General features: G+C 32.3%; 1 protein-coding gene across 6 annotated transcripts in view; it reads right to left on the bottom strand.

Annotated features, from left to right (window-relative positions):
* Positions 1 to 15,249, bottom strand: part of PTPRK (protein tyrosine phosphatase receptor type K) — a 551,815-nt gene that overhangs the window by 23,723 nt on the left and 512,843 nt on the right. For 2 of the 6 annotated variants that reach the window (NM_001291984.2, NM_002844.4), the window contains exons 15-19: positions 12,577 to 12,737; positions 6,213 to 6,397; positions 4,394 to 4,481; positions 2,955 to 3,031; positions 166 to 202 (exon numbers count right to left, since the gene is read on the bottom strand). In NM_001291984.2, the coding sequence (NP_001278913.1) occupies positions 166 to 202; positions 2,955 to 3,031; positions 4,394 to 4,481; positions 6,213 to 6,397; positions 12,577 to 12,737 (548 nt within the window). Of the gene's footprint in view, positions 1 to 165; positions 203 to 2,741; positions 2,760 to 2,954; positions 3,032 to 4,393; positions 4,482 to 6,212; positions 6,398 to 7,474; positions 7,824 to 8,688; positions 8,701 to 10,689; positions 10,726 to 12,576; positions 12,738 to 13,518; positions 13,549 to 15,249 lie in introns of those variants that run through there. The other 4 variants (NM_001291983.2, NM_001291982.2, NM_001291981.2 and 1 more) reach the window with 3 other exon arrangements.

Consider the following 15,249-nt stretch of genomic DNA (forward strand, 5'->3'; position numbering starts at 1 on the left):
ACACACACAATAAATTTGTACTATACAAATGAGTAAGGAGCAGTGTTAATCAGAAGGGCTGATTTTTTTGTTACTAAGATAAAATTTAAAAAATAATAAAAACCACCACATAGATGAATAAGCAAGTTTGTTTTTTCTATAACATTTAACAAGGCAAAGTTTTACCTTGGGTTGCAATGTAATGACTTGGTCTCTGGTAGCCCTAAAATAAGAGAACAAATTAGTTATCATTTTACATCAATATCAGAAATAAATGAATGAAGGCATAAAAAGATGAAGACAACCACCTGTTAAGATTAAGTTATAATAAAAAGTCCAGAAATGAGTAGTGAACACATAGTTCACTTCTCAAACCTATGTTATCTGAAAGGTAAACATAAAACAAAAATTAAATATTTTAAAGGCTCTGATTAGAATATATATTGTATAATTGATTTTTGTTTGCCATGGAATAACCTCATAGATTTTGTTTGGTTTCACTAAAATGTTTATGCCTTCATGTAAATGTTTAGTCATTCATTCCTGGTAAAATAGTGTTTAAAAATATTAATTCTCATTTTATCATCCAAAAGTACAACACACTGCATTACAAATGGACGAGGACATATTAGAACCATAAAAAAATAACAGAACATTCCAATGTTAGAGCTGGACAATGCATGTGTGCATCCAATCAAAGTCCTGCTGAGATTTTTAGAGAATATTCCTGTTCTACAACACATTCAGGGATATGCAAAAACTATTTTGTGCGTGCTCACAATGTTAATTTACACACACATAATTATAGATACACACATATATATAGGGAAAGAAGAATTTTTAAAAATGCATCTTATCTTGAGCAAAAATTTAGTATTTTTTTTTTCAGTGTGCTAAAAGTTCTGTTGAGGAGGAATAGATTTTTAGTTGCTTTCAATTGGTTTGAATAACAACAAAGCATAAGTTGTAAAAATGTTGATGATATGATCCTAAGTTCTGAATTTGTTGCATATTTACCAATGAGCCTTAGTAAAAGTCTGTGGTACAATTTGTCCACATACTGGTGTGGGCAACTCAATACACATATAAATACATGTGAACTGAGATCTCCAACCTAAAATTTAATAGCATGAGTATTACGTTATTGCAAATTTGGAAGATTTCAAATTTTTAATATACCACAATGTTTTATGGAAAATAGCACAATGTTTTATGGAAAAATTTTTCCAAGCTTTATAAGTATTTCATTTCCACTTCTTAAAAAAAATACCAATTGCAGAAGTATATACTCATATCGTTTACATATAATGAACTAATGGGAGAGGGAAAATTATGAAATTGTATAGAAATAGACCAAAATACACTGGGGTCTTAACAGAAAGACTAGATAACAAGTCTTATTTAAAATACAGTCCTACCATATGAACCATGAAATAATTTTATAACAAGGCTCCAGTGTACAAGTCCTGGCAGAAAACCCAGGTTAAACTAAATAGGTAAGAACAATTACAAATTTGTCATAGAACTGTTGATTTTTTTATTCTAAAAATTAGACCATTAGCTTAGTTTTACATAATGATGTTTGATAAATTTATATAATGAATAAGAGTAAGATTATGATCAGAAATTGAACTCATATACTCATATACTATGCTTTATAAAATATATTAGTTCAACTAAATACATAATGACAATTCATAACTCTAAAATGTGAACCTAATAAATGTAATGAAAATTATTTCCTATTTATGGAAATTATAAAATGTTGGGTCCTAGGTTTCATACCTTTTAGGTCTATAGAAGTATACATATGCTACCATTCTTAATACCTCCACCTTTTGTCTTATAATTATACATATTGTGAATCAATTTAATTATAGCACACCTAGATTTTAATTGTAAAAAAAATAGTTGAAGTTTAAAGAGTGCTAAATATATGCTAGGCATTGGGCAAAATGCTCAACATGCATTACTTCATTGAATTCTCACAACAAAGTGATGAGGTTAGTACTGTTATTATTATCCCCACTGCAAAGATAAGGAAACTGAGGTACAGAGAGAGAAGTAACATTCCCAAGATCTCCAGGGTGATTATGAACCAGGTCTTCCTTATAGGTAATGTAATATATTGCCCTTTAAGAATATTCTATATTTTGTTTGATAATTACTTCCTTTAAATAAAGAATTTCCATGTAGATATGTATGTAATCAAAATTTAACAGTGAAATATATGATCAAAGCAACCTTTTTCATTTCTGTGATTCGATATATATGTGTGATATGTGTATTTTACAATTGAAATTTAGTAATTATTTTGCCTGAGTAATTTTATTACTTTAAAAGCCAATACAACACATCACAAAATAGTCTCCCTACTCATTTTAACGTCAGAAGTCAAATGTAAAAAGTAAAATTTCAGTAACACTAATACACATCATACTATCCAGCTTCTCACATATGTTTAGGGAAGGGTAAGAATAAAAGCCAGAAACAGAAATCATCAACAAATAAAACTCGAGTACATAATAAACTGTCAAAGCTAAAAATGGTCCTGTTTTTCTACACAAGAAAAGGGAAGGTGGTAAAATAGATCTTTACGCATGTGAAAGAATTACAAAAAAACGAACAGAGATATATTGTATGAAGCTAATTAGGTGAAGCATGCAGAAATAACTAGTAGTAACAGAGCGTTAGTAATAACTGTAATTAAGAATGTTTGTATTTATAATAGGGTGCTGTTATTTACATATAGTGGTACTTACATCCCTGTACAGCCAAATCTACAGCCCAAACCAAAGTCAGGTGTGAAAGAAAGCACAACAATGTCAGTAAGTACTAGGACGCAGAACAAGGAAAAGTGTACAGTTTGTACTTTTATATTTTAAAAAGCTAGCAATCACTTTATAGGTAATAAGCAAAAAGGTTCATATATATAAGCCAATAAAGTAGACATACTTAACTATAAAAATACTTACATCAATATAGTTGGCATTAATATAATCTGAGGAAGGATCATCCTCTACGGGTTGCAAAATCACTCTGGAGTGATCATCTAAAATTTTAAAATAATAAATATAAGCTGTTAAATTTTCCCCCTGTTCTGAGACAATGTCATTGGTAGAGACTAAAGAATTCAGTGGTTGCCCATAGTCTATCCATAGTATACTACTACCAAATCAGTCCTTTGAAGAAATATAAGAATGTTAGTGAACCTTGCTATTACACTTATAATATTGTGTGACTTAAGCTTCACTGACTTGAACCTTCATAGTTAGTGTTTAGGAGACATGAAATTGTCTGGTAAGTAATCATTTGAGTCATAGAATTGTCTACATAACTGAACTAGACTTAACTTCTAATTTTGCTTTTTAGTCATGACTTTAAACGGGTTGGATCCTTTTCTTCTGCACTTTACAGCAAATGAGCCACAGAATTAAAAAGTGAATTTTGAATTCCCGCTCTCAGTTTCTTACTCCCTGAGAATCAAGGTTAGATTTTGAGCTATTCATAAGATACTTTAAAATAATTTAAATTCAGAGCAGAGTGGTCTAGGTAAATCAGCAGCTAGTTACAAGTTAAACTATCTGCTACTTTCTTTACTGATCCTGTGGTTTTGTCTGATAATGACTTTATTATCCCGTGTATATCTTGAGGACTTACTCAGGAGGAAGTCCCTAACGATAAATAATATCGAACAACTGGAGTTTAGACAGTGGCTCCAAGTAAGAATTAAAGGCACGTGGAAAGAATAACACCCCAATCTTGAATATGTTTGATGGAAGTGTTAAAACAATTTATAACTGAAAAGATCTTACTTTTTCATTATCCTGATAGTCTCAGCTGTTCAGTAATACCCCATGCATTTATGTACAAACATGAAATCAAACAGCAAGTTATCTCCACAGGGTGAAGTGGCTGAGTCAATTTAATTAATGAGGATGATGACAATTTCAGAATCACTGCTAATAGCCAATGTTGTTTTTGTTTGTTGTTGTTGTTTTTTGAGACAGAGTCTCGCTTTGTCGCCCAGGCTGGAGTGCAGTAATGCAGTCTCTGCTCGCTGCAACCTCAACCTCCTGGGTTCAAGCAATTCTCTTTCCTTAGCATCCTGATTAACCAGGATTACAGGTGCGTGCCACCAAGCCAGCTGATTTTTGTATTTTTAGTAGAAATAGAGTTTTGCCATGTTGGCCAGGCTGGTCTCAACCTCCTGACCTCAGGTGATCCACCTGCCTTGGCCTCCCAAAGTGCTGGGATTACAGGCATGAGCCCTCAAGCCTGATTGTAAATGCTGTTTTAATATTAAATAGATTACTTCATAAACAGACACACCACTCTCTGGGATTTTTCTTAAAGTTTAAAACCATATAAGCATATAATATTTACATTCACCAAGAATTGAATGGGAACTTACATGCTATAATGTTTCCATATCGGTTTTTTGCTCTATTTTGATCTTTTTTAGCTACATCCCAAGATGCTGACTGTCCTTCAAAAAAGCTCTGGGAAAACAAAACGAATAAGCAGACTGAATTTAATTCCTTTTTAAAAATCAGGTTTATCTGTTCTGAAGCCCCAAATAGTAAAAACCACTTTCTCAGAGAGGAAAGCAGTCCTACAGTAGTAAACAAGTTTCATTCTCAGACCTCAAAGCCGCTTTGTTGGATTCATACTTGTTCATCTTAAATTGGATTCAGGTCAAATTAAAGACAAAAAAATAACTTTAGAGAAAAAAAATGGACCTTGAAAGTATTTTAAAATTAAGATCACTATAATGAGAAGTAGAAGTAGCAAAGTATCATTCTTTTCAAAACGTATTGAATGATAATGCATCAAAACTGCAAAAAAGCTTTTAATGAGTATCTTTCAAGTGTGCATCATTTAGCATTTATAACAGTAGAAAGAAAACCTGCTTCCCTCCATAATTATTCATTAAATTGTGTGCAATACATCGCATCTGAGTTTCTTTGAAGATCATGAAAAAGAGTGAGTCTTCACAACAAGGGACCATATAAAAATTAAAATAGAGTCCCCTTCTTCAAGAATCTGGGAACAGAAGAATTTGTTGACTAGTTTAATTACTATATGCAGCAATTTAAAACGGGTGTAAATTTCATTTTGCAAAAGAACTTAAACTTTGCTCAACACAGGAAACGGGGTCTTCAAAGAGCCCAGTGGTCTTTGAAGCAAGGTACACAGGAGTACACATGAAATGAACAAAAAGAACCAGCTCTGGCAGAATAGTCTAATTCCTTGTACTTATTTTGTTACCACGGCAGTGTTTCTGGCATATATCTAAAATCAACTTTCAAAATTCAGAGATAATTAACACTCCTAATTTAAGGTATACAGGTAATCCATAGATAAAATATGGAGTTTAAAAGATTCTTCATGAAATTGGATGTATTTTGGATGGCCTTTTCAAAGCAAAATATTACTTGGATTCTTTCACTTTAAATGTGTGCATACTGTGATGTGTTCATGGGTAGTGGACTGGCTTCCTTCCATGCCCCAGATTGGTATTTCTCAGTAAGTGAAGGGTGGCAAAGGAACTATTTTCCTTTTGCTATATTATGTTTGTTGGAATGTTTGGTTTTAAATCATTGCCTTTGTGAGATAAGTCCTGGTATTTTGGTTTGAGTAGGAAGGGGAAATAAGGTTGGAAGAAGAATTTCCCACTGCCTTCTTTTGGCTTCTCAGTGTTGTTTACTAGATTTGCAGTGCTCTATTTTTTTTCTCAGCCACCCTCAACCAATAATCCATAAAATTAAACTGAGAGTGGCAAGTAGTATATTTAGAGCACAAAGCTTCATCTGATTTCTCAACCATAAGGTCAACAAAAAAAGGGGCAGAGAAGTACCTGCTACTTGATTCATTCAAATGATAGAATCTGCAATGGAACAATGGGACCCAAAGTGTATTGCTACTTGATTTTTGCATGGGGAGATACGCAAAGTGTTTTTTTTTAATACCATAGTAAAATAAATTACGGAATCCAACATTAAAGATTCTTGTAATAAATTTAGACTCATATATCTCTGGGAAGTGCTTTTTTCCCCATTCCCTTCCCATTCCCAGGTACACACACTTGGTTGTACACTCATAAACACTAGATTAGAGAGCCTATAGAACAATCCCCTCCTTGTTGTGTTAAAGAGAGGGAAAAAAATGCTAAATTCCACTGAGTATCATAGTTAAAAATCAAATTCAATACAGTATCAAAACTTATTCACCTCATATTCCTCTTTGAACCCATAGCTGTCTGATGTCTTCATGAGATTAATGTGCTGCAGTAAATCAGCTACCCTGATGGCTGGATGCAGCTGTCCTGTCTGGTAAGGGGATTCCGTCCCCTCACAGAGGTAGCGAGGTACGTCTAGAAGGCGACTGGACTCTGCTGTAGCACTGTGGTTCTCATCTGGCATTTTTCAGATTTCAGAAGATTAAAAAAGAGACAAAGTTATCTTGTTTAATATATGTATCTATGCAATGAAGATTTTAAGACCTTAAGATCTTTCTGATAACAAGAGGAATTCTGGGAAAGAAATATCATACAGTATAGGCCTAGACAGTATCCCCAAAGACAAAACTCAAGGTTTCAGGTGAGAGTATATTATGTGTATATCAGCAAGACAACAGACACTGTGAGATGCAGGGAGACATCTGATAGACCTTTTAAAAGCTTAAGCGGGAAATTTTGCTGAGTTGTTTTTCTTGCATCTGTAGTCATAGCAGTATAGAGTGGGACCAGAGGACCCAGCTGTCAAGTGGAGGTGTTTTCATGGTCTATTAAGTCGACCAAACTCCTTCCCAACCATATCCCAACCTCCCTCAGAGATACCCGATCTAGGTGACCCATCCCCAAAGGGCTGCTCTTCTTGTTCTCGTGGCCCTATTCTCTGGGGCTTTTTACCACAACACACTCTGCACTGGGAAACATGGGCATTCCACATGATCACCCCCTGATGCCACTCTGTCTGCTAGCCAGACTACACGTGCATTTATATTCAACCTCTGCCGCCTTGACTTATTACTGTTATTGTTTTTATTGCAAATGTATTTTGAGTCTCTTGGCCACGCTGCGAGAGAAATCAGGGCGCGCTTCTGGAGCAAAATGTGGGTTCCTCCCCTGGAAGTCTTTTCTGGCCCCTCCAGGTTGAGTTACAAAGCTCCTTCTTTATGTTCCCATGACCTCTTATTCATTTTTACATGTCATTTCACTTGCTCTATATTTTAATGATTTATCTACTTGGCTATTTTCCTCACTAAATTCTGAACACCCAGTACAGAGACAGAATATTTTTCTTTCTATTCCTAGTGCCTGATGCATAACAGTAACTCAATAAATATTCCAATGAATGAATTAAAAAGTCAACTGAATCCCTGACCACTCACAATTAAGCGTAAGTCCCTTCCCAATTGTGTTATTAGCTTAAAAAGAAAAGAAACTTTAAATTCTTTTTCTGTCATAAGAAGGAAGAAAAGAACAAGAACATTTTTGCCTATGAAGAATAAACAGTACTTTAATGACCGAAGTACTAAACATTACAACGAGAAGCATGCTCATATTTATCACATTTAAACTTACCACTTAAAAAAAAAAACAAATGTTTTAAGGGGTGTTACTTTGAAAAGCATTATACCGTCATACTCATTAACAGAAGAGAAAATACACTCTTAGGGGAACTTTTTTTTTAATGATAATGCATACTGTAGAGAATGATATTTAATTAACAGATAAACATATTTCAAGTGCTAGTACATTTGCCTGTTCTATCACCAACTCTACAAATAGGATATAGCAAAAAATGAATTGTTGTCCCCATGATAAACATTTTTTCTTCCTGGAGAAGGGAAAAAAAAAAGAACCCTACAATCAGATTTGTGTGCCTCTGTAATTTAGCTTGATTGCATTTATCTTTACTCCCTCTTATTAAGCTGAATGCTCTTTTTGTAGCATTCATTCCTAAAAATACACTGAATCAAAAAATCCCTGATAGATTCTGTTGTGACCTAACCACTCAAGTGAATTCATGTCTTTTACTCAGATTTTGCCCACCCCTCTACACAAAAACATTGGCTAACAAACATGATTCATGAGAGTTTCCTGTTCTCACTATGCGACCAAAGTCAATGGATCTACTTCTATTAAAATATTACAATCAACAGACCGACATAAAGAATAAATACATCTCCCCAGAAAAATTAAATTCAGAAGCAATTGATTTGGGCACTGCCACAGAATATACAGTTAAGGATGAGAAGTAAAGAGAACAGATAACGTCAGAGAGGCAAAATGCAATCACTCAAGCTGGAAGAAGGTAGCCAGGGCTCAGTGGAGCAGCCCCAGAGCTCACTTTTACCTGCTGGAGTAGCAGAATATTTACAATTGAAAAAGGCTCAGTGAGAAACACAGAATTCACCCATATTCCAAATCTTACAGATGATTGTGTCCCAATATAAAATAGACAGTGCCTTTTGTTTTGCATTAAGCTTTAATACAGTAGTACAATGAGCAGTAAGGTCTTTAAAATAATCACATATGCATTATTAATCTCAATACATTTCCACCTCATTAAACCACCTAATAATGTGACTAGTAGTGAGGGTACACGTACTAATCATTATCCTTATTATACATTTAAGAATAATAACTTGAAATATATCCTTGATTGAAAGGTTTTCTAGAGTTCTTTGCAATACACTTACCTGTTATAGGAACTTAAACCCAATGAAGCAGTAAAACACAAAAACCAAAAATACGAATCAGTATGAAAAGTTTCTAAGCCCTTTTAAATCAGTAAGTATTAGCATTAAGCAATATTTGAAGTGATTTCAGAAACTGCATTATAAATACAAAAATGATTGGATGCAAAACTCTAAAGACCACAATCCTAAGAATGATGAAAAATACAACAAATCATTTCTACATCTAATATGATTAATGAGATATTTAGCTTTTAAAGAATGCCAATATATTTTTAAAACCAGCTTGACTTTCAAAATTAAATAAAATGTGTAATGAATGTTTATATAACTAGACTTTATGACTCTATTGTGTTAAATCTAGCTTTCCTTAAACATGAATATCCTTTTTCACAGGGAAAATTACTATGATAATTATTACAGTTTATAAAACTCATACACATCATCTAATTTTCTCTTTATAATAAAACCCCATGAAAAAGGTATGGTAGGAATTATTATACTGTTTTATAGATGGGAAAACAAAGATGTAAGGTATTTTTATGAGTTCATATTGTAAATCCACAGGAGGACCGAGACTTGGACTTTACATATGTGTAGAAAATTATTGTAAGGAAACTTTTAACATTTAGGCAACTAATTTTTTTCCAATTAGTTCTCAATATTTTAATTGAAATTTATTTATTAACTTTATACTGACAGCATTCTACAGTGCTTAGCAGAAGATGACATTTTCAGAGGCATCTGATGTATCCTTAATGATCCCCAGTGATCATGATTTATGGCTCCTCCCTGTGTGATAAGACCACTCCCTGGGGCAAATCCCCAGTTCACTTCCTAACCATTATTGGTGGACATCAAAGGGAGAGTGCAAGTAGAGATGAAGAACATTGACTTTTCAGATTATTTTAGAATATATATCCTTTATAGTAATTATAAAATTATAATTTTAAATATTTATTTTAGTAAATAAGAGGTATATTTTACATAACTGAGTTAGTTGTGTTGTTCCAAAATATTTTAAAAATGCAATTGAACATTGATTGTATGTATAACAAAAATACAAGCATAAAATATAAGTTAAAGTTTTTTGTTCACAAGAAATGTTAAATATAAATAACAAACATGACATTTGGGAATTTACAAGATATATTTATTTGATAGTTTCCATATTTCTTTGGTTAAAGCTTAACTAGAAACGCTGGTAAAATTGATATGGAACCTGTAAACATACAGGCAAGCTGATTACTAATCATTGGTGTATAATTAGTCAAGGAACAGGGTACAAAGTGAAATGAAAAATGAAACCCATTCCATTCTTAAATATATAGGTAGGTTTAAAAATTAATATAATTTTACATCTGTAAAAGCGTTAATTGTCATTAGTAATAGCATTGTCTTAGATGTTATACAGTGGTAACCCAAGTAGCTTGTTCTAAATTTCTTGAAAGATAACATTACTTATCAGGTAAGGTTCATGTAGAATGTCAAACCCCACATCAAGATTTTAGCAACTTTACCTACATTAAAACATTCTTAATAAAGACAAAAGCTAGAGCAAATGCACATAATCCTAATATTTACTTGTAAATTTGTTCTTTCGTGGTTATAAATTGGGAGGATTTAGAAACATCCCTTTCCATTAGGTAGACTTTTACATATAAACTAGTTATTCAGGCAACATTGCACCCTGAGATGTATGCATTTGGCTTCATTCTACTAATTTTGACACATTAATATTAGTCAGACATTAAGGGCCATGTACTTTTGCTCCAAATCTAACAACCAAGAATTGAAGAATACATTAAATAGCATGCCTTGCTAATTTGAAATCCACTAGATCTGATATTGGGTTGAACACAGTTGCTCTCTTTGATAATACCATGGCTGTCTATTTTCAAAATCAAGCTGCCTCCTGCACTGTAAATAATCTCTATGTGGGCAAACCCATGCAAGGAGGTGTGATCCATGCAATGAAAAGATGATAAAGATTTAGGGCCTCACCTAACACAGCAGTCGGTACAAGTGGATCATTGGGCACTGCAGGAAAACAAAGCTCATGAAGGAATATATTGCTCTAAAATTGTTTTTTAAAATCTTTTTTCTTTAAAATAGATTTATGCTTTCTTAAGAAATATAATTATTAAACTTTCTCAGATTACTGTATTCTGCAAATGTAAAATTTTCTCTCTCAGCTTGGGTTATATCTAAACATCAAGAGAGGTGTATCTATAATTATGGTTCAGAACTCTGTTTAATTTAAAAAGCCAGAAGATTAAACTTGACATTAAAAAATTAAAGAAAAAAAAACCCATGTATTTTAGATCTATCAAGTGTAAGGTATTTAAAGAAATAATTATCTCATATTCATTCCAAATAATTTTTTTCAGTTATCTGTGGGAAATAGATTTAATCCTTTCTCTAAGTTCATAAGTGGATATTTATAGTTACACTGCTGAATTCAAACTTTCAAATAAGGCCCTAAGGTAGGCAATAGATAGACAAGTTTGGGAGGCATGAATGCTTTCAAAACCTTAATTGATTAAATATTAAATTAAGTAGTTAAAGAGATGATACATCTTTATTTTCCGCAAAACTTACTTTCAACAGTAATAGTATTTTACATTTTTCTCTATCATTTATCTATAGTGAAATAAAAATAAAATAGATCTGAAAGGCCCTGTCATGATTATAACTAAATTCCAAAATGACTCATGTATAGCATCCTTAACTACTAATTTGGTATACATATATACATAGAAAATGATGGGCTTCATTTTAGATCCAATAGTTACTGAAAAATTTCTCCAAGCTGAACAATTCAGAAAAAAACTTCCCTCTTTACATACAAGCATACAACCTACAAATACTTTGTTTTCAATCTTACTATTACATATGTTCATAGTTTGTACAGGAGATAATACTTATATTGTTTCTTTGCTTATACCCATGTTTTCCAAACCGGGGTGAGCATATCTCTGCGATCTGAGCCAAATGCCATAAGGCCCAAGTTATACAAGGCCAGTATACTCAAGAGATATACCTGATTTGCCTGCCTCAAGCATCAGTTTTACTTGAGGATTTGAAGAAACAAAGTTAGGCAATTTCACTTAAATTTAATTAACTTAAACAGATGCACTATAGAACAGAATATAACATTCATATGAAATTTGAAAATAAACAGTAATATTGATTCTGGGGTAATTATTAAAATCATCTGCTTTTAAATGGTACTTCAGCGGAAATATTTTAAAAGCCTTGCCTTCATAGACCAACATTAGGAATTTTCAAGACAGATGGATGGATGAATTTCACTATGCCTTGCAAAACCCCCAATTCAAGTATACTTTTGGACTTCACACCAGATACTTAAGAGCATGTAGACTAATGTTTCCCTGAGTTAACTTTTTAGTATTGCAATTTTCCAGGAGTCTACAATATACTACTTTAATGCAATGATTTTACCTATGTCAATAATTCCCAAAAAGAATTACTGTTTCCTCTTATCGCAAAAGAGACTTTCATCTTACACAAAGGAAGATGCAAATGGAAAAAGAATTATAAATTCTGACATGAACTAACTTTTTGTAGGCAATCGTGTATTTCCACTTAAAGCAATGACACGTGCTATGGACTGAGTGGTATATGTTTGGAATATCCCTTGTGATACAGTAATAAAATTCATAGAGTTTGAAGTTAAACTAAATCCAGTATCAATCTTGATGAGAATCCTTCTTGTAAATTCCATAATATTCTCCATCTCTTTCTCTTCTTTCTAGCTGCTTCTCCCCTCACTTTCCTACTCTCTCTCATTACTCAAAAGGTATCGTGTAGAATTCAAAGTGAAATGAGTTGTAACATCATTTATTAAAATTTTAATGAAAAACTTACATCTTGGACTAAAGTTATGTTGGTCCATGAAGGTGATGGAAAGAGGATCTTCTGCATGCAGAGTGCTCTGATCAGCATAACTTCGATCCATTGCATTCACCATGTGAGTCATCTCCTGCCGGGTATTCCCCATGGCATCTTTGCGTTTTTTAGCAAGTTTGCTGCCAAGGCAAATACAAAAGGGCATCCTTAGTGTTTGAGGCTTGCAGGAGAGTTAACACCAGCAATAAATAGTCCAGGTGAGCCCGAGGATAATGTTACAAACATGGTTTAGAAACCCCAAGCACTGGTCACAATTTCAGGAATTAAGTTTGACATTCAAACAATTATATTTGCTCCTTGCTATAAAAGTATTTTGTCAGATGCATATTTCAATATTCAAGCTGTCAATCCAAATCTCTCATCATTTCCTGTTCTCTTAAATATCATAAAATATAATTATATTTATTAAAAGCAAAATAAATACCTCCTTACTAGAGTAATTCAATAAATATTCAAGCTAAAGCCAAGTTTTGATACTCCTGGGTAATTAATTCTTTTGATCAACTTTTAGTTCCTTTTAGAAATAACATGACTAACTTTTCAAGTCTGTTTTACTGTAGCCACCAAATTAAAACAGACATTTACCAGATGAGTGAAGTGCCATATTGCTAAGATAAGGTACAGGTTTAACTTTAGTAAATAAATTATGTTTTTGGCTCTAGACTAAAGCTACTTATGGAAATTATAACTAAATTAAAAGTAGCTGGACATACAGAAATACAATATCCCTTTTTAAAAAGATTGGCAAAATAGGTGATAGATAAAGTTTATAGTTTTAGAGTCTGAAAAAACTTTTTTTTTGAAATGTCACCAAAATTGCAAGCATTCTGTTTTGTTTTTGAAAAGGGATACTGCATCCTTAACACACGTAAAGTTGTACATCACCCATTTTCTACTTACAGGTAGTAGGAGTAAGAATAGTAGCTCCTCCTGGCAAGCAAATCACAGACAGTGGAAAAAGAGAAGCAATGGTGAATGAAAAGCGTGACTCTGTCACATTCAATAAAGCAGAAAAATGTGCGTTAAAAAATAAAATAAAATAAAATAAAATTCATGTTTTTTTTGCTTTGCATTTCAATTTGCTCATGCATTGTTAGTTTTTTTTGCCATGCAATTAAACAGACAGATATGCAATATAAAAATAAAATTTAAAATACATAATTTGGAAAAAATAACATGCTGGTATTTCTTATTGCCAAAATATTGAAAAATTAAATGGATTGTGTATTTTCAACATGCAGTTAAGCATAATATCATCCATTATCTAAATATGACAGATGGAACAGCTGTGCATAGAACTTGTGTACTATATAGATTATTTTTCTTTAGATACAAAACATAAAGATCTATTATGTTAATATATCATATATACAGAATAACACCTAAATTTCTACAAACAAGTTATTATATCTTAATGGTACATAGGTATATACATATGTTATGTGAATATACATATATACCATATACTATATATACACAGATACTTCTACAGTAGATGCATGTGAACATGATATCATACACAAACATTTACTGTATTGAAACATAATTTCAAATTTATGTTTGAGTTATTAATGTGTTCATGCTGTGCATGTAAAATATAATACACAACCAATGAAAAAATGGCATACATTTGGAAATAATTGAATAGCGATTAAATTAAAAAATGACATTGCGTTTTGAAAGATGCAATATCCCTTTTCTTAGCCTAAAAACTTACTTTATACATATCCTTAGCTGTAAAACTTTACTCAATTGAATTATACACCATTCTTTTGCAAAACAACCAAAAAGACATGGAACTGTTTTCCGCATAAGAAATATATCTACATGTATTCATCCCAGTGAGGGATAAAATCAAACTTAACAATTTCCCACTAAAATGTAGATAAGAGGCTAAAGTAATTTCCTTTTCCATTATTTTTATTATAAATTTATATATTAAAAGGGAAACATTTTATATTAATAGTTTTAAGCTATACTTGATGATAATATCCAATGCAATGCTGCTATATCTATACTTTTTTATATGTATGATAAACATACTTGTGATTAAAGCATACATGGTACATGTGTGACACGCTACATATGAGTAAAAGTCATTACAAAATTGCTTTGGTAAGTAAGAAATTCAAGTAATGTAGATATAAATACTATATATTAGAAGGTAACATATCTAAATAATGAAACCTGGTCTATCTTTAAAAGTGCAGCTTTTCCTGGGTATAAAGGTGATGGTGAGGAACAGAAGCAAAAGCCCTAGCATACTTTCTATCAAAAGACAATCAAAGCATAATTATGAAAGCTCAAATGTTAAATATTTTAATAGAGAGGCTCATTAACTTAACCATTTAATATATGAACCAGAAAATCAAGTTGTCATATTACACAATTTTAGAGAGCTGTCAGAGCATTTTACCTTCCCCCAAAATCTTGCTTAGTGATGGTTTTAGCATACTTTAGGAGGTTAATTTTTCAATTTTTTCATTATTGCTAAATCAGAGGCCTGGATAGGGAGAGTTATCAAGACAAATGAATGTTTTCAAATAAATAACAAATAAAACTGAATAGTTTAGCCCAATTCTAGCTGAATGAGGATATAATCAGAAGCCACTTTCATGTTTACATCCAATC

The sequence above is a fragment of the Homo sapiens genome, chromosome 6 (genome assembly GCF_000001405.40).
Source record: "Homo sapiens chromosome 6, GRCh38.p14 Primary Assembly".
NCBI lineage: Eukaryota > Metazoa > Chordata > Mammalia > Primates > Hominidae > Homo > Homo sapiens.